The following is a 25,221-nucleotide window of genomic DNA, read 5'->3' as shown; positions in this document are numbered from 1 at the left end:
TGGATGTGGCCATGACTCGGATTGGAGACAAGGCTGCTGGGGCCACAGCGCAGAGTACTAACCACAATACGATCACCGCAAGCCACAGGAGCTGAAGGGCGCCGGGCTCTTTGTTTAAACGTAATGCAGGGCTGCTTCCTTTTTGGAGACCTAAGGGTCCGCGTAGATTTCGTTCGTTCTTGGTGTCTCTCCGTTTTTCCCCCCTTTCTTCCCCATTCTGCTACAATAAAAAAAACACTTCTCATCTCTCCCTTGTGCAGTCCTTACCGCTGCACAAAGCTACTGGAAAGTTTCTTCTTCCTGGTCCACGCCTCTACCGACTTCCTTGCCCTCCTCCTCGCAATTCCCTGTTGGATTCACCCCTTGCCCGGCTCCGGCCTCCTGCGCAAGACAGGCACCCAAAAACAGTGCAGCTGAGTCCCCGCAGCTCCCTGCCTAAGAGTGGCAAGAGAGGCCACTGGAGGCCTCGCCGCTTGCGCGCCCCACAGGATGCCCGATAAAGCAATCGGAAAAAATGCTTTTTAAAAAGAACCTACTTCCCCTTCGTGACGAGCCCCGGCAACATGTCGAAATCCTGTATCTACAAAAAATACAAAAATTAGCCGGGCGTGGTGGCGCTCGCCTGTCGTCTCAGCTACTTGGGGGCTGAGGCAAGAAGATCACTTGGCCCCGGGAGGTCGAGGCTGCAGTGAGCCTTGTTTGCACCACTGCACTCCAGCCTGGGGGACCAAGTGAGACCCTGTCGCAAAACAAAACAAAACAAAACTTCCCCACAGAAAAATAGTTCATGATTTACATTCTCAGGACTCTTCAAAGGACTAAAAGTTAAAGGCGACAATGGATTCACTCGACGAGTCTTAGTCCTGCGCCCTGGTGAATGGCAGACCCTGCTCCCTGCGAGGGGATCACGAGGAACTCTCACCACCATCCCTGCCCTGGTGGAGCCCGCCTGCGGACACAGGATCCGAAGATGGCAGCGGAAGCTCTGCAGCGGCCCCTAAAGCGATTGGGCAGTGTGGGCACAGGCTCCCTCACGGGGTGAAGGCGGCGCAAAGAACTGGAAGAGCCATCCTGGGAGCCCACCGGGCATTCAGCTTCCCTTGGGCCCCCAGGCGGCTCGGGCCCGGGTCGCAGACTGGGGCGTTTCCGGGGGCTTCTGAAGCAGGCGAGGGGCAGGGCGGGCGAAGGCCATTCGGCTGTCCTTCTGGCTCCAGAATCTCCCAACCCGCGGGTGTGCAACGTGATCAGCGCGACTCACCGCTCTAATGTCTCCGGTTTTCCCTCCTGAGGGGCAGGCCCTCAGGACAAAAGGGATGGGGAGAGTTTGGTGAGTGTGCCCTGCACGTAGCGCCCGGTAGAATCAGTAGCAGCGGTCTCTGTTGCGCAATCAGCGCGTTTGGCTGTTAACAGAAAGGCTGGTGGTCCGAGCCCAACCAGGGACTCCTCGCTTTGTTGTTTTAACCCATTTCTGTTGATATACAATCAACTCCAGCCTAATCAGGAGACACACATGTCCTCTTCCCCACCTTCTTAGGTCTGAGGCTTGGCAAGGCCCATGGTGCCTTGTACCTGTCAAACTCAAGAATCCCAGAGACCTTAGACAGGAACTCACTTCTGGTGTGATAAAAATGTTCTTTGCTCCCATGGAAGACTTGGGGGAGTAAAGTGCCTCTAGTTTTTCATGTTTAATAATAGGAGACCTATTACAGTAGTATTCTGTCCCCGGATGTGCCTGGGTTTAAGTAATTCCTCTATCAATAATGTGACCAGTGGAATCAGTCATCCTCATGGTGATCCTCGCCATTGTTTGTGAAAACAGCATTTCTTCCTCTGTTTGTGCATGATTTAACCCTTTTCAAGATGTTTTTGAAATGAGGTGGGTTTCATGGCTTTAGGATTACAAATGATGCCGCAATCTCCACTATTCTTGTACACATATCTTTGGACACTTGTGCAGATATTTCTATAGTGTAGAGAGGAGGATGTGCCATTTTTACATTACAACATTTATTTAATGCTTCTAATTTGAGTACATTCTGCAAATTTATCTTCCGTGGGAGCGATACCAAATCATATTCCAATTTGTTTCCCAATTCTATCAATGTCCCTTCTGTCATTTACTTGCCGGCACAACAAACGTTTCTACACATTGATGTATGATATTCCACTGAGAAGAGAGGCATCCTCCTGGCTTAACTGAGGGGGTGTACAACCGAAGGAAATGGTGGACATTACGCACAGATATTCTGCGGCTTAGGATGAGCTGCTAAACTTCTAGGATGTTTTAAAGTCCTCCAATATCTGTAATTGTTTTCTGTGGTGACCAAGTCACGTGGGTCCGGAGAAGATGGGCCACAGTGACCTCTTTGTCAGCTTTCTGCCAAGTCGCTTATACAAGGGGAGCAAAATCACAAAGGTCCCAGATAATTTTTTCTTCTCCCCTTTCCTCTTTTCTTCATAAATCTTGGTTTTGCTTTTGTTTGACCAAACCAATGTAATGCCCATTCTCCCTCCTATACAGTGGTAAATTAACATGCAAATAGCTATCCCTTTATTATTCTTTGATAGATTTCTGCTGTGGCTATGTCCATAAAAATTAGCCCATTTGCGATACATCATTGGAGCCAACAGAACCCTGCACCCAACAGGCACCTTGTGCAGACCTGGACCCTTAGAGCTATTGGCTCATGTTCCTTCGGTTCTTCTACTGAATATCATGAGTAGAAACTGAGCTCTTTGGCTTTTACCCACTACTCTGGCTATAGTACATTTTTTCTCTCTCCTCTTTCTCATTTTTGTATCATGATTTTCTGCCATCAGTGGCATCAGTGTGGATTTCTGGTTTTGATGTTATTGAGTGAACTTCTGGGATTGTTTTATGGCTGTATAACAGTCAGTATTAAATCCTTCTGTTGATGAAGATTTGTGTTATTCCCAGTTTTTCCTTAGTAGAAAAATGAGGTTAATAAGAACATTTTTGGATGTATTGTTCATTTAATGGGGGTAATCAATAAAGGTAAGTGTGCTTCCTTTTCAGGTAGGCTTAACTCGATGAGAAACTACCAATTATTAGAACAGCTGTTGTGCTAAATTGCAGTCCAACTAACATCACACAGCAATATCATACACACTCTGTATGAGGAAGTGGGAGAGGCAACAACTTTCAAAATCAGTTTTTCTATGTTTCCTTTCATTTTCTAGTGAACCCTTAATGGCATCTTTGAAGGTGGCTATGGTCACACCAAGTGTCACCACCAGCCTATTCAAGTCCTGCCTCAGAGCCATGGAGTGATACACCAGGGCAGCCCAGCCAAGTCTCGGGCTCATAAATACCAGGCAGTAATAGATGCCTATGAAATGAGAAGGGTCAGATGATTCCTCCCTCTCCCATCATGTCTGTGCCTCTCTTTGCAGCTGCCGTGCCGCTAAAAACAATTGGTCACACTTATTTTGTCAAAGATAAAGTCAGACATTAGTCAAAGCTGTGAAAACAGATTTTCTTCAGTAACTATTGACCATAGAGGAAGGGGCTGAGCTCCATCGCATTTGTGCAGAGGTGATGGCATTCTAAACAGAGAGTGAGGCAGGGGAGAGGGCACAGCACAAGTGAAACATTACAAAAGATTAGTCATTGTAAGCTTCTGCCTCATCAAGACAGCTGTGTCTGCCAGCTGGCAATATTAGACATTAGGATTCTAACCTCCCACAGAGACCGGAAGACAGAGACTCAGTCCTTCCTGAGGACTATACCTCAAAGGAATGGCTTTCAGATCCTGGGAAAAGACACACTGGAGTCCCTAGGAGATACACACATATCTCAAAGGGATGGAGGAAGGATTCCCTTCTTAGTAAGTGCTATAAGAAGGAACCTACCATCATCAGCAGGTACTGGCTAGAACTAAAGTAAGTTCCCCTGGCAGCCTTGAGCTTTCTTAGGCAGGCATTGCCATGGGAGCCGAGGGTCATACACAGGATATGGTCTTATGCTATTAGAAGTCATGATAGAGTCTGATCAACTCTTAGCACAGAGGTTTAAACTGAGTCTTTGTGTGCTGAGTTTGGTTGTTCTCATTTTCCATTCCCCCATCCCATGGTCAAGATTTTACTGGACTCTGATAGATGGACAAGGCCACGGGCCATTTTCAGTGACATTCCAGCAGCCTAGGCATATCTATTGAGATCTAAATGAAAACAAAGAAAACCGTGAGATTGGGAGTGGGCCCCAAAATAGGTATGCATTACCGATATTCGGGAGATAAAAATATATCTAGGCCTTGTCAAAATGGAAAGTGACTTATGCAGCCAAGATGAAATTCAAACTTACATTTTCAAAGTATATAGCCTGTTGATATTTTGTATAAGAAAGCCATGGCAAAATGACAATCCACAAGTGGCAATGGTATGTATGGGTAGGGAGAGACTTCATAAGGTAAAAATTATCCTCACTTTAAATGAAACTCCTATGTGTTGCTACAGTAAGGGAACAGAAGCCAATGTTACGCTGGAGTATATTAATTGTCATGGGATAAACAGGCAGGACATGATGCTACATTTATTAGTAACTTCTATTGAGAGTTTTTGTGAAGGTTAATTTTTGTGGCAATTTGACTGGGCCAGAGGGTGCCCAGATATTTGGTTAGACATGATTTCTCACTGTGTCTCTGAGGGTGTTCCTGGAAGAGATTGACATTTCAATCAGTAAACTCAGTGAAGCAGATTGCCCTCCTGGGTGTGAGTGGACCTCATCCAACCCATGGACGGCTTGAATAGGATGAAGGGTTAAGAAAGAAGTTTTTCTTCTCCACTGTCTTTGAGCTAGGACATCAATCTTCTGCCTTAAGTCTTGGACTTGGTCTTGAACTATATTTGACTCTCCTCGGTCTAGAGCTTACTCAGAGTAGAACTTGGGCTTCTCTGCTTCTGTGTGTGTGTGTGTGTGTGTGTGTGTGTATGTGTGTGTGTGTATCCTGCTCATTTCTTTCTCTGGAGGACTAAGACTAATATAGTATTATATGCCAGTTGCCAGTTTTTGTCTTTATTCTTTTGAAAGGTGTAAAATAAATAAATAAAACAAAACCCTGGACGGTTCTCAAAGAAGAACAGTAAGGATTACTAGAAGTTTTAAACTTTTAGGAAAAGCCCTAAGAACAGCTTTTGTTAAAACAGTCTTCAAGAAAATAAAGGGTGTTGGGAAAAATATTGTTGCCTTAATGTTTTTAAGCAAAGGCATGATCAGTCAAGGAGAAATATACTTAGGATTTTTTTAAGTTAATTTTTACATTTTAATAATTCACATACAATCTTAAGAACTCAGAGAGAAAAAGAGAGGTCCCTTGTACACTTTACTCAGTTTCCTCCAATGGTAACATCTTGGTAATATTTCCAAAATGGTAATTTTTGCAAATACTGCAAATGTATTGCAAATGCCACAGTACCAGGAGATTGACATTGATACAAGCAAGGTACAGAACATTTCCATCAACACTGCAATTCCTCATGTTGCCCTTTTATAGCCGTGAACCTGTCTCTCCAGTGCTGCTCCTCCTTCCCTCCTTAATTCCTGGCCGCTATTAATCTATTCCCCATTCATATAATTTATTCATTTCAAGAATGTTACGTAAGTGGAATCCTACATGTCACCTTTGGGATTACCCTTTGTCCACTCAACATAATTCTGTGGAGATTCATCCAGGTTATTGTGGCTATCAATAATTTGTTGTTTTTTAAAAAAAATTATTGAGGACTATGCGATGCTATGGATATATAACACAATTTGTTTAACCATTCACCTCATGAAAGTCATCTATACATTTTTTCCTCAATTTTGGCTATTAAAAACAAGGCTGCTATAAACTTTAAGTACATGGATTTTGTGTGAACATAAGATTCTATTCCTCTGTGATAAATGCATGGAATACAATTCCTAGGTGGTATGGTAGTTGCACATATAGTTTTAAAAGTAAAAACTATACAGATATTCTCCAGAGTGGGCTGTAACCATTTAGATTTCCACCAGCAATGTATGAGTGATCCAGCTTTCTCTGAATCCTTGACAGCACTTGATGTGGTTACGCTTTTCTTTTGGCCATTCTGATAGGTATGCAGCAATTTCTCATTGTGATTTTAATTGGTATATCACTAGTTGCTACTAATGTTCTGATTTTAACATATGAATTTGGGGTGGCTGGGCACAATGCATCCCATAACAATGTGTATTCTGGTGTGGCTGAGTGTTCTAAAATTGTCAATGGAAGTCCCGCTGGTTGATCATGCTGTTGGGTTCTTCTATATTCTTGTTGATTTTCTGTCTGGTTATTGCATAAATTGTTGAGAAAGGGGGACGTTGAAGCATATAGCTATATTTGTGGATTTGTCTAGTTCACTGTTCAGTAATTTCAATTGTTGTTGCATAGACATTTATGACTTTTGTCAGGGGAGGAGTTGGTGGATTGGTTGTTTCCTCATTATATATTGTCCCTCTCTGTCTCTGATTAGTTTCTTTATTCTGAAATATACTATATCTGACATTAATATAACCAGTCTTGCTCTCCTTTGTCTAAGGTTTGCATGATACATCTTTTCCCATCCTTTGGATTTCAACTTGCCTGTATCATCATATTTGAAGGTAGTCTCTTTGTAGCCAGGATGTAGTTGTGTCGCGTCCATTAACCTACTCTGCCAATCTGTGTCTTGTAATTGGTATATTTAGATCATTGATATTTAATACGATGATTGATAGGGTAGGGCTTAAGCCTGCCATTATATTTTTCCTTTTGTGTTTGTTCTCTCTGGTGTCGTTTTCTGGATATGCTTTCTTTTCCTTACCTTCCTAAGGTGACTTGAACATTTTTCAGAATGGTGTTTTGCCTTACCCATAGTGTTTTTGAGTATATCTGTTTGCATAGCCCTCTTAGTTTTTCCAGACATTCATATGTCTGTGCATCTCTATCTTACCACACAGTATACTGGTGTCATTGTTGTACCAGTGTGAATGAATGATAGATGAGTTACCTCCCTTGTAGGTCTCTTTACCCTCCCAGTTTATAATTATTTCAAAGATTTTTTTTTACAGAGAGTTAGAACCACATCAAATGATGGTATGATTTTTTTCTGAAGCTGTCAATCGTAGTTTAGAAAACTCAAGAGAAGAAGGAAGGCCTATTTTGCTTGCTGTTTGTTTGTTTTTTTTTTAATTTTCTTTCTGATGTCCCAAGGTTCCTTCTTTAATCATTTCCTTTCTGTCTAGAGAACTCCCTTTAGCCTTTCTTTTAAGGTAGAACTGCTGGTCAGAGATTCCCTTAGCTTTTCTTAATCTGAAACTGTTTTGATCTTCCCCTTAATCCCTGAAAGATGTTTCTGCTGGAGAGAGGAGTCTGGGTTGACAATTGTTTTCTTTCATGGCTTGAAAAGCACCTGGCAACTTCATTGTACCTCCATGGTTTCTCATGAGAAATAGATCATCCCCAGAATTGTTTTACCTTTCTAGGTAAGGTGTCACCTTTCTGTGTTGCTTTCAAGATATTCTCTTTGTCTTTCATTTCCAACATTTTATTTTTTCATGTGGCTTGCCATAGACCTCTTTGGGTTTTATTCTATTTGGGGTTCTCACAGCTTCTTGAACCTGTAGGTTTCTGTCTCTTGCCAACTCTGGGAAGCTTTTAGCCATTTACTTCTTTATGTTTGCAGCCTTGTCCTCTTCCTCTTCCTCTTCCCCTTCCAGACATAAATAACAACATGAAAGTGAGACCTTCTGAGGTAGTTTCACAGAGGTTCTGCTTACCTTCTCACCCAGTCTGTTTTTTCCTTGTTAAGATTGTGCAATATCTATTTTTTCATCTGTAGTGGATGGATTTCTTTGCTCTGCACCATCCATTCTGCTGTTGAGCCTATGTGTTGGACTTTTTATTTTGGTTGTTGTATTTTCCACCTCTAATACTTCCATTTGGTTCTCCTTTAAGTCTTGTATTTATTTGCTAAGGCTTTCTATTTGTCCATTGTTTTGAATGTGCTCATAATTACTAAATCATTTTCATCAGGCTTGCTGGCTTTAAAATCTTTGTCAGACAATCCCAACACCTCTCTCATCTTATTGCCAGTGTGTATCGGCTGTCTATTTTCATTCGGCATAAGATTTTCCTGCTTCTTGCTATGATGAAGGATTTTCAACTGAAACTTGGACTTTTGGGTATTATGTTACCAGACTCTCGATTTTATTGAAACCTTCTGTTTTAACTACCTTTTTCTGAGTCTGCTTCTGCAGGGGAAGGGGAGTGGCACCATCTCGTTGAAGCCAGGTGTGTGTAGAAATCCAGGTTTCTCACCTGACCTACCTCTGTTGACAACCTGAGTGGAGGGCCCTCGAGGAAAGAGCGCGCGGATGAGGCCCCTTGGCTTGGAGCCTCTCGGCTTGGCAGCCCTGGAGGCTTGGCAGCCCTGGAGGGGTGGCGTCCACACTCTTGCGCACCCGGGACTCGGAAGCTCAAAACCCGCCGGCTGCTGCCGCTTCTGCGAGCCGGAGAGTGTTAGCCAGGCGAATCCCGCACATGGGCGCTTAGTTCTGGAACTGGATACCCCGCGGGAAGAATCCGGATCCTGTAGCCCGGTTATGGGTCTCCAGTGTCTTCATTTCGGGAGAAAGCGGGGAACCCTCAGACCGGGCCTATTGCGATCAGCAGTCTTCTTACCTGAGGGATCGCAGGTGCTTTCCGGGGCCTTTTGCTAGCACTTTCCTGGGGCCGCGGGAATGTCCAGATGCAGTCGAATTTCATCTGTCACAGGCAGCAATACGCAGTTGCCCAAGGCGGCGCCTAACATTTTCGTGGGTTTGTCCTCAAGGGGCGGTGCTCGGGTCGTTTAGCTAGAGTGGGGTCAGCAGGTTCGCCTCTCACACGAAAGGTGGCTTTCATAATGACCTTTTCTTTTTCTGTTTTTTTAAGGGAGGGGAGGGGAGCTGAGGGGTGGGATGGGGGAAACTAGCTGCATCTTTGATCACAAGAAGTACGGGAGGAGTTCCATTACTACCTGAAACCCCGCTGAGCACAAGGAACCAGGCCTGGTTTGCCCGCCATGAGTTGGATCCGTGAGTTGGATCGGGAGACAAGGGCGCCAGATGAGGTGGACTTCATGTTAGCTTTAGATCCAGAAATTTCCAGTCTTCTCATCTATCGCCAAAATCTTCTTTCTGAAGATTTCAAGATGACAGCTACAATGTCTCTGAAACCAAGGAGGTCTTTCCTGTGAAGCCCACTTGGCTTCCTCGCGCCCCGAGGACAGTGGCGGAACCGGTCGAATTGTGTGGCGGAACAAAAGAAAATGAACGTAAATCTGCACCTGGAGCTCGAGCCAAAGACCCATCCATTCAGTTTCATGCTCTACTAATTGAGCTAGTTGGGGGCAAAAGGGGACCCCTACACATGTCTTTATTGGTAGAGCCCCTTGCGCCAGTTCAGAGATCAGGAAGCAGAGGGATTCGGCTCACAATGAGAGCCAAGTCCGCACTTCGGTGGCAAGGAAACTGAGGCTCGGAAACAGAGCAAGTGCTTGGCTCTGCCTCACACCTTGCTACAGCTAGGCTAGAATGGAACACCTGCTCAGTTTCCTTGTGGCCTGTCCTCAATACAGCCCAAAGCAGCGGCCAGGCTGGCAGAGGCGAGAGGTGTTGAGTAGCTGCTCAGTGACTGCCTGGAGCCCTGCAGTCCTGCAGCCCGCTTGGGTCACAGACAGCCACTTTCAGTTGGCCGCTCCATCTCTTAGAAAGTTCATCTTTCTTTACCTTCTCTTTTTTCCTCTGAAAAGGAGATGGTTGTGTGGGTCAGCTTCCTTGGTGGTCTAGTGGCTAGGATTCGGTGCTTTCACCCGTGCGGCCCGGGTTCAATTCCCGATGAAGGAATACATTTTGTAACATCCCCAAATTGTGTGTGAAGATTTGATAGAGAAACACACAGGTGATGATTAAAATGCAGAAATATGTTCCCAGCAGCAATATTTGTAATAAAGAACAGCAATATTGTAATAATAAATGTTCACCAATTAGGAAATGTTATATGTTGTGATCACTCCATACCCTAAAAGGATATGCAATTATTTCAAAGATGGATGTAGATAATAATAGCCGTGATGAGGCCACCGATGATAATGGTTAATGCTCTTGGAGCATTTACTATGCCTCAGGGCATGGGTTCAATGTTTTACTGCCCTGTCTTATTTAAACTTGGAACAACCCATTTAGAAACGCATTCCTATTGGGCCCATTTTAGAATGCAGAAATGGAGGCACAGAAAACCTGTGACTTCAGAGTCACACCGCCAAGGAATAAGGCTATCTGCTCGCGTCTACGGCTTCATGGACAGAAGTGTCCAAGGTTCTCTTGTTCTTCTGCTAGGGATTGCCATCTTCTCAGAGATGGGCAGCCTGAAGAATCAGCGAAGGCAGGTGCAACGAGGATGGAGGTACAGAAAGGAGGTGTATATTGGGCTTGGGGTAGGTAGATTCTGGAGCTCCAGAACTGAGCTTTTGCCTAAAATGCACCTTTTGCGAACAGCATTTATTTTTCTAACAAACCCCTAAGCCTTCAGGCAGGATTTTCATCATCTAACTTGAAGCAGATGGGCATCAAAGACCCCATATATCTGGACGTGGAAGAATGAAGGTCAGAAAAGAATAGTTACAAGGTTAACTATGCTCCTGCATGGAACAGGATGAGTAGTCTTTAGTTTTTTGCCGATGACTGCCCTAATTGCTCCACAATGAGGCACGTTGTGCCTGGAAGTCTGACGACATCTGCCTCAGACATCTGTCTATTATTAAATGCCCCCATCCCCAGGCTGCGCATCTAGATGCCTGAGGGCGTAGTGACATGGAGGCCAGAAGTTGTGTGGTTGGGTACATTGTTACCAGGCAGTGTGAGTGGGGGCAAGATGCAGGAATGCCAGATCCAGGACATTCTCCCTGGCCCACACTGCCTCTTGTGCTTCCCCTATCAGAAGCGGCCCCACTGCACATGACCACAGTAGCCTCTTGGTCTGAAGTCACCCACTTCCCCTTCCTTCACTGTGCTTCATTTGTCATGCTCACTGCTCGTGTCCCCTGTCCCTGAACGGGGAAACGCTCGTGGGGAGGACACAAGCCGGTTGTGTTCCCACTGCCCAGTCTCTTCTTGAGGCCTCTAGATGTGGGCTCTGTAAGGCAGGATTGGCACACCATGCAGCTACTCACCTAGAGAAAGGATTCACACCTAGTGAGCACCCAATATATGCTCAGTGAATGAAGGCATTCCAATGTCGGTTTCTGAGAGACATCAAGAATTCTACTGGACTTCCCACTTTTAGTCCTTTGAATAATTGGGGTAATGGGAAGATAGAAAAAGCTTTTCAAACCTGGGTGTTCTTTGTAAGGTTTATTCCAAGTCTAGAGGGCACCTTCTGGAATGAGCTCCCCTCTCTGTAAGGGGAAACACCTTCAGTCTGTGGGACTCTGTAGGTAGAGAGGAAGCTGAACCCTGAACATTGAAGAGGAGGAGAAGAAAGTGGGTAATACTGGGGGCAGCCTGGAGTATGAGAGACAGACAGACAAGACACAGGCACACAGACACAGATGGAGAGGTTGGAAAGGCAGGGCTGGATCAAGGAGGAGTTGGGAAGCAAAAGGACCTATATGTCCAAGAGCCAGATTTAGGGTGTAAAAGTTGGAGTTCAGTTTTGCTGAAGAGAGTCAACAAAAGAACCAAGGCAAAGGGGGCCAATAACTCCAAGGATCCAGGTCTGCATAAGAAGCATGGTCAGGTGCAGGATCCTATGGCTCCAGAGATTTGTCTCCAGTGAGATGAGTCTCACAAAAAATCAAAACAAAACAAACACTGTCAAGGAAGGAATAACACAGAGGTAGTTTTTAGCATGCTAATTCACCCTTGTCTAGGAGGGAGAACAGTCCATAGATCGTTTGCATTCAACAAAAGCAGAATGCAATTCATAAAGAAATGAGAAGAGGAACAAATTTCTAGAAGAAGCCATTCTTTCCCCTCCTATTTGATAAGCCTCTTGACAGGAAGCAGCTCAGGGTCCCTCCAGCCAGTTTTCTCTGGACTTAGTTAGGTAGATCACCAGAGAAAACAATTACAATTATTGGAAGACTTTCTAAACATCTTGGAGGTTTAGCTGTGGAACACTTATCAGAGAGTATCTCTGGGCAGTGTCCACCATGTCTTTCTGCTGCGCCTCCTGCTTAGGTAAGTCAGGCAGGGCACCACCCCGTCACTGGTACATCAGACTGGTGTGTGGAAACTTTGCTGAGCTGCCAAGAGCACGAAGGAAAAGGCTGTCTCACTGAGTTGGAAAAATATGTTGGAAGATAAATTGGCACACCTCCTGTTGAAGTCAAACTAAGAACACGTAAACAGATGCCTTCAGCTCCCAGCAAAGTTTGAGTAACAGATGCCTGATTTACTCTCCTGCCTGAAATCTCCCCACTGCTCCTCTCCACAAACAAACAGGTGCCTGTAATGCCAGCAGTTTGGGAGGCCGGGGTGGGCTGATCCCTTGAGCTCAGGAGTTTCAGACCAGACTGGGCAACATGATGAAACCTCATCTCTACCAAAAAAATTTCAAATAATTAGCCAGGCATGGTGGTGTGTGCCTGTAGTCCCAGCTAGTCAGGAGGTTGCAGTGGGACGATCGTTTCACCCTGAGAGGCAGAGGTTGCAGTGAGCCAAGATTACATCACTGAAGTCCAGCTTGGGCTACAGGGTGAGACCCTGTCTCATGAAAGGAAGGAAGGAAGGAAGGAAGGAAGGGAGGAAGGAAGGAAGGAAGGAAGGGGCCAGGTGCACTGGCTCACAACTGTAATCCTAGGACTTTGGGAGTCTGAATCCGGCAGATCACAAAGTCAGGAGATGAAGATGATCCTGGCTAACATGGTGAAACCCCTGTCTCTACTCAAAATACAAAACATTGGCCGGGTATCGTGGCACATGCCTATAGTACCAACTACTTGGGAGGCTGAAGCAGGAGAATCACTTGAGCCAGGCAGGCAGAGGTTGCAGTGAGCCCAAATCATGCCAAAACCACACTATCAGAGATGGTAAAGTCGTTGGATGGGATTAACAGCAGATTAGATGTTGCAGAAGAAATGATCAGGGAACATGGAACCATGAATAATTGAAAATATGCAAAATGAAACTTACAGAAAAAAGAAATTTTTTTAAATGAAAAGATTATCACTGAACTGTAGGGCAGACTTAAGAGGTCTAATTTATGAGTAATGGGAGTCCCTGAGAAGGAGCAGGGAGGAAAGGAAACATTTATTTTCTTTCTTTGTTATTTTTCTTAGGAATGGGGTCTCAGTATGTTGAGACCCAGGCTGGTCTTGAATTTCAGGCCTCACTCAACACCTCCCGACTTGGCCTCCCAAAGGCGTGAGCCACTGTGCCCAGCCAATTTCTGAAGAAAAATAGCTGGAAAGTTCCCAATCATAACAAAAATTATAAATCCAGTGACCCAAGGAACTGAGGAAACAAAAGCACAAGAAACATGAAGAAAACCACTCCTAGATACCTCATAATAACATTGCTCAAATCTGGCCAGAAGAAAAAGACATTGTACATACACAGGAGCAAAGATGAGGATTGCATCAGCTTCCTTTCTGCTCTTGCCGGCCTCTACCAGGAGCAGCAATGCACACGAGCAGACAGAGAAGCAACATCTTTAAGGTACTGAGGGCAGGGGAAGTTAACCTAGAATACTATGCCAGAAAAAATAAATTCCCAAAACTGGAAGTGAAATAAGGACATTTAGGCCAGGCACGGTGGCTCAAGCCTGTAATCCCCAGCACTTAGGGAGGCCGAGGTGGGTGGATCACAAGGTCAGGAGATTGAGACTATCCTGGCTAACACGGTGAAACCCCGCCTCTACTAAAAATACAAAAAAATAGCCGGGCATGGTGGCGGGTGCCTGTAATCCCAGCTACTGGGGAGGCTGAGGCAGGAGAATGGTGTGAACCTGGGAGGTGGAGTTTGCAGTGAGCCGAGATCGCCCCACTGCACTCCAGCCTGGGCGACAGAGCGAGACTCCATCTCAAAAAAAAAAAAAAAAAAAAAAAAAATGACATTTAGAGATGTACAAAAGCTGACCGAATTCACTAGCAGCCAGCTGAGCCACACTACAAAAACCGTGAAAGGAGTCCTCCAGGCAGAAGGAACCCAATACCAGACAAAAATCCAGATCTTCATTTCCAGAGGAAATGAAGAACACCAGAAATGGGTAACTATAATAGGTATTTTCTTATTTTGTAAATTTCTTTTGTGAAAATTTGACCATTTAAACAAAAGCAACAATGGGTTGTGGGGTTTATAACATGCCCAAAGGTAAAGTGCATGTCAGCAATAGCATCAAGGCCAGAAGGCGAGGTATAACATCACTTGAAGGTTGACTGTGATAAGTTAAAAAGGTTGGCTATAAGCCCTAAGGCAATTACTAAAATAACAAATGAAAGAGTTATAGCTAATAAGCCAAAAGAGGAGAGAGAATGGAATGATATAAAAACAGCGTGGACACTATGATAGAGTAATTGCTCTTTCTATAGTAATTGCAGCTCTATCCTATAGAAATACTTATACACCAGTGGATGACAATGCCCGTACAAGAATGACTAGAGCATTATATGTAATTGTAAAATCACAGAACCAATTTAACCTCAAAAGCGTATGGAAAGGGCTAAATGAATGACAGTTAGAGAGACAGAGAAAGAGAGAGAGAGAGAGGGCGCCAGGCGCGGTGGCTCACTCCTGTAATCCCAGCACTTTGGGAGGCTGAGGCGGGCGGGTCACGAGGTCAGGAGACCGAGACCACCCTGGCCAACATGGTGAAACCCGGTCTCTACTAAAAATATAAAACTTAACTGGGCGTGGTGGCCCATGCCTATAATCCCAGCTACTCGGGGGGCTGAGGCAGGAGAATTGCTTGAACCAGAGGGTCGGAGGTTGCAGTGAGGCGAGATCGCGCCAGGGAACTCCAGCTATGCAACAGAGGGAGACCCGGTCTCAAAAAAAAAAAAAAAAAAAAAGGTGAGAGAGAGTTCCCAGAATCCTAGTGGACCTTGATTTACTTCCTCTTGTCCTACGCGAGACAAGGAGGAGTGGAGGGTAAAGTTGGTCTCGCTCTGCCTTTCCATGAAACCATGTGCTCGATAGAAGAAAGTTGCCAGCGGTTTAAGCATTTTTAAAATGCAAGAAATAGCTCTATAGAACAGGCTCGAACCACCCACCTCCAGGCTTGGAAGCAAGCATACCAACCGACTGAGACACACAGTCAACTCTCGTTCTGGTATCACCAGACCAAGGGACGATCCAACGTTCGGCGGAGCTACTGCCTTTTGTAGAACAATTGTGCAGGCTCCAAAGCCTCGGAAAACCTGAGAGGCGCATCTTGCTGGCTACGGTTGAAACCCGTGCATTGGGTGATTCCGAAGCTGGAAGGGCAGCGGAATGGCCTTCGCCCCGTCCTGACCCTCGCAGGCGTCAGACCCAGCATCCCAGGAAACGCCCGGGTCCGCGACTCCCTGGGCCTGAGCCGCGTGGGTCCCAGGGGAAGCAAGCAGAACGCCCCGTGGGCTCTAGTGATGGCTCTTCCCCTTCTTGGCTCCGCCTTCACCCGATTCTCTACTGCTGCTTGCGCTCCCCTCGCTCACCTCGGCCTCGGTCGGTGGGGCGGGAGAGAGGAGGGGTGAAAAGCAGAAATACGGAGAGGCCCCACAGAAGCAGAGGAGGTGCGGACCAGGACAGAGAGACCTCCCGAGAGAGGCTGGTGCAGGGAGGCCCAGGCTGGAGTGGAGGAGATGAGAATTGTTCTCATCACGTATGAAGATTGGGAGGAAGGGAGGGAAAAGCAGAGCGGGCATGAAAGAAAAGCGCGAGTCCCCTGTGGCTGTCTGGGAACGAATCCGCCTAATAATCGAAATCCATTGACGTCAAAAGGGCTAGAGCAAGCTCCGCCATCGCGGCTTAGCCTGTGGCTCGCCGTGATCGTATAGTGGTTAGTACTCTGCGTTGTGGCCGCAGCAACCTCGGTTCGAATCCGAGTCACGGCAATGTCGTTAGTCTAGGCTGTCAGCTCTTCCCTTTTGCTCCCGCAACCAGGCGCGTCAGGGGAAGGAAAAGAGACCTCACACCTTACTAACTTGGCGAGGAATCCAAGGGAAACCCTGGACGTGCTCCCTCCTGTTTCTGAGCCTCACGCAGCAAATAACCCAGTCGGCCCTGTTGGTGGCTTACACGAAGGCAATGGTGTGCTCAGAACCGTTCTTCCGGTCACTGGGGGCACGTCGGGGTAAGGAAAAGAGACCTCACAGCTCACTAACCTGGGGAGGAGTCCAAGGGAAACTCTGGACGTGCACCGTCCTGTCTCTGAGCCTCACAGAGCAAATAACCCAGTCAGCCCTGTTGGTGGTGGCTTACACGAAGGCAATGGTGTGCTCAGAACCTGTTTTCCAGTCACTGGGGCTGTTACACACGAAACGACAAGAAGCTTTTAATGACTTTAAACTCCAAACTCTTTGTTGTGGCCTACAATGGCTTGTCTCTGTGCCCGTCACCAAGTTTGTATGCCAACAGCAAAGTGTGAGGAAAGGCAATCTGGTGCCAGGGGTCTTTCCACCTCCACTCTGCCACGTAGGAATGGGCCTTGGGCCTGGAGCACTTCCTTCCTGAGAGATAAGGAGTCATCACAGCCTGTGCTGGACTCACCTCCTTGTGTGGGAGTATCTTTCCCCCGATCAGACTTGGTGTGTACCCCTTTGTTCCACTTAAGCATGTGCATCAACTGGCACCTGGCCAGCTGCTGTATCTGCCCCCCACTGAGGGGAGGAAGCGGGGGTCCTTTCTTCTGCTTCTCAAGAGGCTGTGTGTGCAGGCCAAATGGAGGGACCTGCTGGCCATGGGGGACCAACGCCCAAGACTGAAGCGGAGCCCACACCCCGCTCTGTCTCCTCTCTGTATGAATAATGTGTTGTTCTCCCGTCCAGTCTCTGACTGCCTTGTATTTCCTTGGCGACTCTGATACCAAGAGGCTAGGGCCAGAAGTGTTCAGACTCCTGCTGATAGGAAACCGATGCCACTTGCTGGACAAGATGAACGAAAATTCTTCTTGTATAGGTCTTTTTGTGGACACGTGCATTCATTTCCCTTGAGGAATACCAAGTACTGGAATTGTTGGATCATAGGGTAGGTGTAATATTAACTTTATTAGAAACGGCCAAATGGTTTCTTCCAGAATGCTTTCTCACCAGCAAGGAGAGTTCCACTGGCTGGACATCCTTGACAGCGCGTGGTGTTTACTGTTTTTTAAATACACCTGTTCTGGTGGATGTAAAACGGTACCACATCGTGGCTTCAATTTGTGTTTCCTTTAATGAGTAATGCTGTTGAGCATATTTTCTAATGCCTTTTCACCGTTTAGCAATCCTTCTTTGAGAAGACAGGCTTTGAAGCATTTTCCCTAATTCAATTGGCTTTGCTTTTTATTACTGATTTGTAAAAAGTACTCTCTATATTCAAAATTTGAGCCTTTTTTTTTTCAGGTAAACACAGTGCAATTATCTTCTCCCAGTCTGTGGCTCACCTTCTCACTTTCTCATGGTGATTCTTGATGAGCAGAAGTTGATAACTTTGGTGAAATTCTACTTTGCTTTATTTTTTCCTGTTATCTCTTAAGGCAGAAATGTATTCTGCTACATTCTCTTCCAATAACTTTAGGGTTTCGTTTTAATTTCTAAATCTATGGCATATCAAATTCATCTCCTGACCACAGCAAACTTAGCATCTGCTAATGTCCTGATCACCAGAAAACTTCTGTATACTGTAAATACACTGGCAAGAGTTACTTCTCTGCTGTTTCACAGCTATGGGCCCTGTGCCTCCCTCCATTTCTTCCCTACTCCTCTCTCCCTCTGTCTCCTTCTCTGTCCTTCTGTCTCTCCTCTGATGCAGCTGAGAATCCCAGAGACATCTGAAACAGAGAAGTGGACAGGTCCAGTCTAATCTATGTCCAAGAACCCAGGTTCTGTATTAGAAATCTATGTCGGCCCTTGCCTGACCTTGGTTAACTATCTTAAATGTTATGTGCCTCAACATTTTTCTGTGGAAGGTTGGGCCTCTTTGGGAACTCTGCCTTACACTGCTGTTGTCAGACGGGCCTGGATTTAGTGACTACTCAATCAATAACGTAATCACTAGAATTATAAAAATCATTATCATTGTCCTCTGCCTTATTTGTGAACAATCACTCTCCAGATTGTTTTCACTTTACCTTTGCTTGTAGAACTTCACGCAGATGGAATCACGTTGCATCTACTCTGTTCTACATGCTTCTTTCTCTCTGCATAATGTCTCTGGCTCTATCCATTGCTGAGTGTAGCAGAAGTTCATTCCTCTTTCATTGCTGAGTAGTATTCCATTGCAAAGAGACAGCACAGTTTGTTTGCCATTCTCGCCCCACCTCCACCCCGATAATGAGCGTCTGGGTATTGGCTATTCTGAATAAACCGGTATTGGGTATTCTGAATAAGCCGGCTTTGAACTTTCTTCCCACAAGAGATTTTGAGGGCACCTGTTTTCGTGTCTCTTGGGGAAAACCTAGTTGCCTAATTGCTGGTACCAAAGAGTGAGATATGTGCAAGATCATAAAAACTCACAAAACTTGGCCCAAAGTAGTTGTGTCATTTTACATTTCCAGCAATGACGTGTGAGAGTTGTGGTTGTTCTTCATCTTCTCCAAGATTGGGTGTTTCCTCTCCTTATAAATTTAGCCATGCTACTGGGAGTTATAGTGGTGTCTCAATGTGGTTTTGATTTCCATTTTCCTGAGAGCTAAACATATTGTATATGCTTTGTTGACCATGTGTGTACCTTTTATTCTTATGTATCTGTTCAAGTCTTTTACCCATCTAGCATACTTGGGTTGATTGGTTTGTTGTTGTTGTTGTTGTTGTTGTTGTTGTTGTCCTTGTTGTTTTAATTACCAGGTAAGAAGATCTCAGCATACTTTATAGTTACAGGGTTTGGGGGTCAGATAAGTTTCGTGACTATTTTCTCCCTGTCTGAGGCTGTCTCATTTCTTCACTTTCTTTGTTGCCTCTTTTGATGAGAAGATATGGCTAATATTTGATGAAGTCTAATGTATCAAGCCTTTCCTTTATACATTTTTTTCTGTGCCCTATTTAATAAATCTCTGTCTACCAACAAGTCACAAAGTATCCTCGAAATGCTTTATATCTTTGGCTTTTATATTTTGGTCTATAATGTGTCTCAAGTTACTTTCAAGTGTAGTGTGAGGGAGAAATAACCTTGTTCGTCTACCCCTTCTCCTTTATGAAAGGCAATTAATTGAAACTATTTCCTTTGCCCCATTAAACTGCTTTTATTGAAAACCTATGGCCAGTCATGGTGGCTCATGACTGTAATCCCAGCACTATGAGAGACTGAGGCCTGTGGATCACTTGAGCCCAGGAGTTGGAGACCAGTCTGGGCAACATGGAGAAACCTCATGTCTACTAATATGTGCCTGTAGTATGAGCTACCTGGGAGGCTGAGGCACGGGGATCGCTTCAGCCTGGGAAGCAGAGATTGCAGTGAGCCGAGATCGCGCCACTGCACTCTAGCCTGGATGACAGAGTAAGTCCCTGTCTCAGAAAACAAAAAGAAATTAACAAACAAACAAAAAACCTATGAACCTTATAGCTGTGGGTCAGTTTCAGGTCTCCAAAGTCAGTCTGTTGATGTATTTGTGTCTCCCAATGCCACTTGCACACTGCCTTGATTATAACAGCTTAGAGTGAGTCTGAAACTCAGGTTGTGCAAGTCCTCTGGTTTTCTTCTTTTTCACACAGCATAATAAGCTTTGAAATAGGTCATAACTCATGTAACCATCACATAGATCAAGATATGCTGTCACTTCATACCTCTCATTTCAGTGTGGGATACAAGTACTTGCACATCTATGCTGATTGCCCCCTTGGGGCCAAGGATCATTGTTACGGGAAGTCAGGGACCCCAAGTGGAGGGACCGGCTGCAGCCAAGGCAGAGGAACATAAATTGTAAAGATTTCACCTTAATATGGACATTTACCAGTTCTCAAATAATACTTTTATAATTTCTTTTGCCTCTCTTTACTTTAATCTCTTAATCCTGTTATCTTCATAAACTGAGGATATACCTCACCTCAGGACCACTGTGATAATTGTGTTAACTGTACAAATTGATTGTAAAACACGTGTTTGAACAACATGAAATCAGTGCACCTTGAAAAAGAACAGAATAATAGCGATTTTTGTGAAACAAGGGAAGACAACCATAATTTCTGACTGCCTGTGGGGTCGGGCAAAAAGAGTCATATTTTTCTTCTTGCAGAGGGCCTATAAACGAACATGCAAGTAGTCAACATATCACTAAATTCTTTTCCTAGCAAGGAATATTAATATTAATACTCTGGGAAGAGAATGCATCTCTGGGGGGAAGTCTATGAACGGCCACTCTGGGAATGTCTGTCTTGTGCAGTTGAGATAAGGACTGAGATAAGCCCTGGTCTCCTGCAGAACCCTCAAGCTTACTAGGGTTGGGAAAACTCAGCCCTGGTAAATTTGTGGTCAGACCAGTTCTCTGCTCTCAACCCTGTTTTCTGTTGTTTAAGATGTTAATCAAGACAATACATGCACCACTGAACATTGACCCTTATCAGTGGTTCTGCCTTTGCCGTTTGCCTTGTGATCTTTGTTGGACCCTTATCAGTGGTTCTGGTTTTGCCCTTTGCCCTGTTCCCTCAGAAGCATGTGATCTTTGTTAGACCCTTATCAGTGGTTCTGCTTTTTGCTATTTGAAGCATGTGATCTTTGTACCTACTCTCTGTTCTTACACACCCTCTCCTTTTGAAACCCTTAATGAAAACTTGCTGGTCGGAGACTCAGGTGGGCATCACAGTCCTACTAATATGTGATGTCACCCCTGGCACCCCACCTGTAAAATTCCTCCCTTTGTACTGTCTGTCTTTATTTCTCAGCTGGCTGACACTTATGGAAAATAGAAAGAACCTACGTTGAAATATTGGGGGCGGGTTCTCCCAATAGATCCTCTCTTCTACCCTCTGGAGAGAATAAATCTTCAGTTGTCTGCAGGGAGGAGGAACACACAAAAAGTCCACAACACTCAGCACAGAGTCCAGATTTTGGTAGTGGGGTTGATGGGGAGGAAGCTCACATTTCAGGCCTTTCAAAATCTTAGGAAAAGTTTTCTTTATTTCTAACTGTGAAATGTACAAAGCTTTGGGTCATTTATAATTTCTTCTTCTTCTTGAAAGATCACAGGAGACCTAATATTTGTGTCCCCCCAAAATGCCTTGGTTGAAACCCTAACCTTCCCCTGTCCACCCCTGGAAAGTGTTAAAATTAGGAGGAGGGGCCTTTGGGAGGTAATTAGATCCAGAGGGTGGAGTCCTCCTGAGTGGGATTAGTGCCCCTATAAAAGGGACACTAGAGAGCTCTCTCAGCCTCTTTCAGCCCCCTGCAGATACAGTAGGAAGATGGCAGTCTATGACCAGGAAGAGGTTCCTCACCATAACCCTACCATGCTGGCACCTTGACCTTAGACTTCCAAACTCCAGAACTGTGAGAAATGTCTGTTGTGGATCAGCTACCCAGTTTATGGTACATTAGCTCCAACTAAGACAGAGATGGAGTCCCATGGAGGGTGTCTAATTTTTGATGCTGGTCATTGCATTCTTCATGTGGGATGTTGCAAATTAGAAACTGAGGGAGAGCTGACCTTTCCTGCATATGTAAGAAGAGAGTGGAGGGGCAAAGATACAGAATGGGAAAGAACAAGCTGGAACCAGAAAACTTATTTCAGGGTCTGGCACTTGAATGTCTTATTTTAGAGAAAGAGAAGACACTGGTAGAAGACCTTCAGTGGAAACCTTCAGCAGATATTTAAAAGCCATTCAATTACATCTTCACTTGTTTGTATGTAGTTCCTCTTTTCCCATCTTTGTAAGTGTGGCACAGGTGAACTGGATGTGTTTATTCAATGTGTTTTTGGAATGCATGTGTAAATAAAAATGACTGTGTCATACTTCCCATATTCATCCCGGAACCTCCTAGAGTTCCCTTAGGTTCTGCCAATTGTACATTGAAAGTACAACAGGCCCGTCGTGGGGATTAATTTTCATTGAACATTTCTAGGAGGAGGGAGGAGGAGGTGGGGGGAATGTGACAGTCTCAACAACAGTTGCTATACTACTCTTACCAAAGTGGTTTTCCTATGTACTTCTCAACAGATCGGCCCTTTCTTCAAATAAGAGCAGTTGGAACAACAAAAGCTGTTCAGTTGTACCCTTGGAATCCACGGAAATCCTGGGTAGGGAAGCTCCAGTACCACCAACTGGAAAGACTGGGAATGCCTAGTAGCTGGTACTGGCCATTGTCGTAGGCTTTGTCCACTTTGACAAACTGAAGACGGGGACTCGACTCACCTTCGCCAGCCACAGGAGGACCTCCAGACGAGGTTAGGTCGACTTCATGGTAACTTTAGATCTTGAAACCTCACAGGATTTTTCTTCTCTTCCCCTTGATCTCTCTTCCGCTTACTCAACAGGACCGGACTCGCCGCCTTTCTTTCCCGTCAGAAAGGGATCCCTTGCGGACAAGACCGAAGTGAGTAGCTGGTTTCCCCTACGTGTCCTTCCGGGGCTGGGTGTCTCGGGAGCTCAGGCTGACAGGAGACCTAACTACCGGCGACTGAGACCAGCAGGAGCCTGGAGGGGCGCGCACCAGGGTGGAGGTTTGGTGCCGGGGGTTGAGAACAACAGTCAAACCCTCTTCTTCCCTGTACCGCGCACCTGCCCCCTGGGATGCCGAACGAAGTGGCCCCTAAGGCTTCTCTGCAGGTCCAACCGAAACAGGCCTGAAGTTCCAGGATGGGCGAGAGGATCCTCTTTGAGCGAAACCAGCCTTCTGCCTGGCTGGCCCTGGTCAACACACTCGGAAGAGGCCGATTTGGAGGACAGAACGGAAGAAAAGACCTAAAGGTAGAATCTCATGATGTCGAGATGTTAAAACCCTCAAATTTTTCCAAATATGCAGGGGGGGAAAGAGGATAATAATATTCCCAATATCGCAAGAGTTATACACCCCCGCGTGAAATGGTCCTTAATAATATTCCAAGGCGGAGGGGATGATGTTACTACATATATCGCAGAAAGTGTACACCCCCCAGGGATATTATTCCCATGATCCTGGAGGGAAGAGGATATTACTTTAAATATCACAGAAGGTGTACACGCCCCCAGTGATATTGTTTCTAATTTCAACGTGGGAGAGGAGGATATGACACCCAACATCGCAGGGAGTAGAAACACTCCTGTGATACTGTTCTCAATATTCAGGGAGAAAGAGGTTGATATTACTCCCAATACAGATGAGTGTACACAGGTCTGTGAAATAGTTCATAATTTCCAGAGGGGGAGTTGATATATACTCACAATATCGTAAACAGGCTATGAGTCCACCGTGGATCGTAATAGCTAGGGGTGGAGAGATCGTTGCTATTACTCCCCTTATTGCGGGGGGTGCCTCACCCCCCTGAGATGTGGATCGTGATAGCCGGGGCAGGTGGAGGGGGTTCCTATTACTCCCCATATCGCAGGGGTTGCCTCACACACCTGCGATGTGGATTGTGACAGCCAGGGGGGGAGAGGGGGTTGCTATGACTCCCCATATCGCGGGGGGTGCCTCACCCCCCTGCGATGTGGATTGTAATAGCCAGGAGAGGATCCAGAAGTCAGAATCCATTTTCTATCCAAACCATATAGAATAGTGATGGCTTTGGTTTCTGAGAATAGATCCAGGCATGGAATCACACAGACTTTCATTCAGAGCTGGGTTTTGCCATGTGCAAGTACCTCACCTCTTAGAGGAGATGAGATAAAATATGTGGAACACTTTTCACAAGTCTGGCACACAGACAGCACTCGCATATTTTTAGTGCTCTTATTGTTGAATCCTTTGGGAGAAAAGATAATAGATTAGAGTGTGGATTTTTTTCCCTCAGGTTTTGTTTTGAGCTCAGGCTGCTTTATTCAGTGATGACCTGTATTTACTTCATAAGCAGACACTTCATTGGAGATTTTAGCTATATTTTCCCCATGGGCCCACTTTATGCTGAAACAGTAGCACAGATGGTGAGACAGTTTAATGCCATTGCCTTACCTCCTGATAACAGCATCGTTGACATGTCAGCACTCCATGTCAAAATATTATGACAAGCATAATAAGTAAAATAAATTAAAAACACTTATTGATTTTAAGTGTTATTTCCGTCTACTATCAATGACATACGATGTCAAATGTGATATAATTGAAGTATATTTTAAGCAAGATAATTAACAAATTGGATTTTGGAGTTGATTCTTTACATGCTTTATGCAATTTCATGAAAAATCCCCGTATGTAGACACAAATCAACAGAAGCTCCTGGCCATGAATATTGTAATATACAATTCCAATGATACCCTTCCTACCAAGGCATCATGCCCATACACATGAGATGAGAGAAGAGAGAAAAATATGCTGTTGACTTTGCTCACACCATTCTGGTAGAAATCAACAGCCAACCCAGCATTCATACAAAACTTAGAATTGGAGTAGTGGTAACTTGCTCTTCATTTTATCTCAACCCCATCAAGATCTACCTTCTCTGTACTGAAGGTTTCCTAGGCAAGGGTAGAGATTGGGCTGGGGCAGAGGTACACCCAACCAACCACCACCTTCTGGACCCCATCGGGGGTGACATCACGTTTTCATGAGGGAAGGCTTTAATAATAACAAAATCCGAGTGCTACAGAAGATGAAAAGCCCCATGCTCTTCTGCACTGGAGAGTGAAGCTTTTAGTACAACAATGTGGTTAAAAAGCAGGAGGAGAAAAGGAAGCAGAGGCATCAATTACAATTAGAGATTTCCTGACAAGGCCTATGCTAAACGAGTTATAGAGGCAATTACCCTAAAAATTTTGAAGCAGCCATTTGCTCAGTAACTTACACCGACCTGACACCCAACCAGAGATTGCCATAAGCAGGGAATTTATGGTGTTAGAATGCTGCTTTAGCGTAAATTACCTCAGGGAACAGATTTAAACCAGTTGCATTTTAAAAATTATGCAGCAACAACAACAACAAAATGAGTTTATGCA

The 25,221-nt window shown here is 45.1% G+C and overlaps 1 long non-coding RNA gene, 1 other non-coding gene and 1 pseudogene across 5 annotated transcripts in view, besides 2 other annotated features; all 3 read left to right on the top strand.

Annotated features, from left to right (window-relative positions):
* Window positions 1-1,394: 1,394 nt before the first annotated feature.
* Window positions 1,395-25,221, top strand: part of LOC105371225 (uncharacterized) — a 26,528-nt gene continuing 2,701 nt past the window's right edge. For 2 of the 4 annotated variants that reach the window (XR_007066560.1, XR_922065.4), the window contains exons 1-3: window positions 1,398-17,209; window positions 22,312-22,538; window positions 22,629-23,061. This is a non-coding gene — a long non-coding RNA (uncharacterized LOC105371225). Of the gene's footprint in view, window positions 17,210-21,526; window positions 22,539-22,628; window positions 23,062-25,221 lie in introns of those variants that run through there. The other 2 variants (XR_007066561.1, XR_922066.2) reach the window with 2 other exon arrangements.
* On the top strand, window positions 9,818-9,889 carry TRE-TTC6-1 (tRNA-Glu (anticodon TTC) 6-1; annotated as a pseudogene).
* Window positions 15,107-15,276: an enhancer, noted in NCBI's record as "active region_1639". NCBI's record gives its function as "activates an Ori minimal core promoter by ATAC-STARR-seq in GM12878 lymphoblastoid cells {active_cell/tissue: GM12878}" and the evidence as "EXISTENCE:reporter gene assay evidence [ECO:0000049][PMID:35858748]".
* Window positions 15,987-16,843: an enhancer, noted in NCBI's record as "H3K27ac hESC enhancer chr1:147753452-147754308 (GRCh37/hg19 assembly coordinates)". NCBI's record gives its function as "activates a minimal SCP1, AML or CMV promoter by ChIP-STARR-seq in naive H9 embryonic stem cells {active_cell/tissue: H9 hESC(naive)}" and the evidence as "EXISTENCE:reporter gene assay evidence [ECO:0000049][PMID:30033119]".
* TRH-GTG1-4 (tRNA-His (anticodon GTG) 1-4) lies at window positions 16,006-16,077 on the top strand. The gene has a single exon. It is a non-coding gene; the product is annotated as a tRNA-His (tRNA).

The sequence above is a fragment of the Homo sapiens genome, chromosome 1 (assembly GCF_000001405.40).
Source record: "Homo sapiens chromosome 1, GRCh38.p14 Primary Assembly".
Classification (NCBI taxonomy): Eukaryota; Metazoa; Chordata; class Mammalia; order Primates; family Hominidae; genus Homo; species Homo sapiens.
This window is presented reverse-complemented; position numbering and strand designations above follow the sequence as displayed.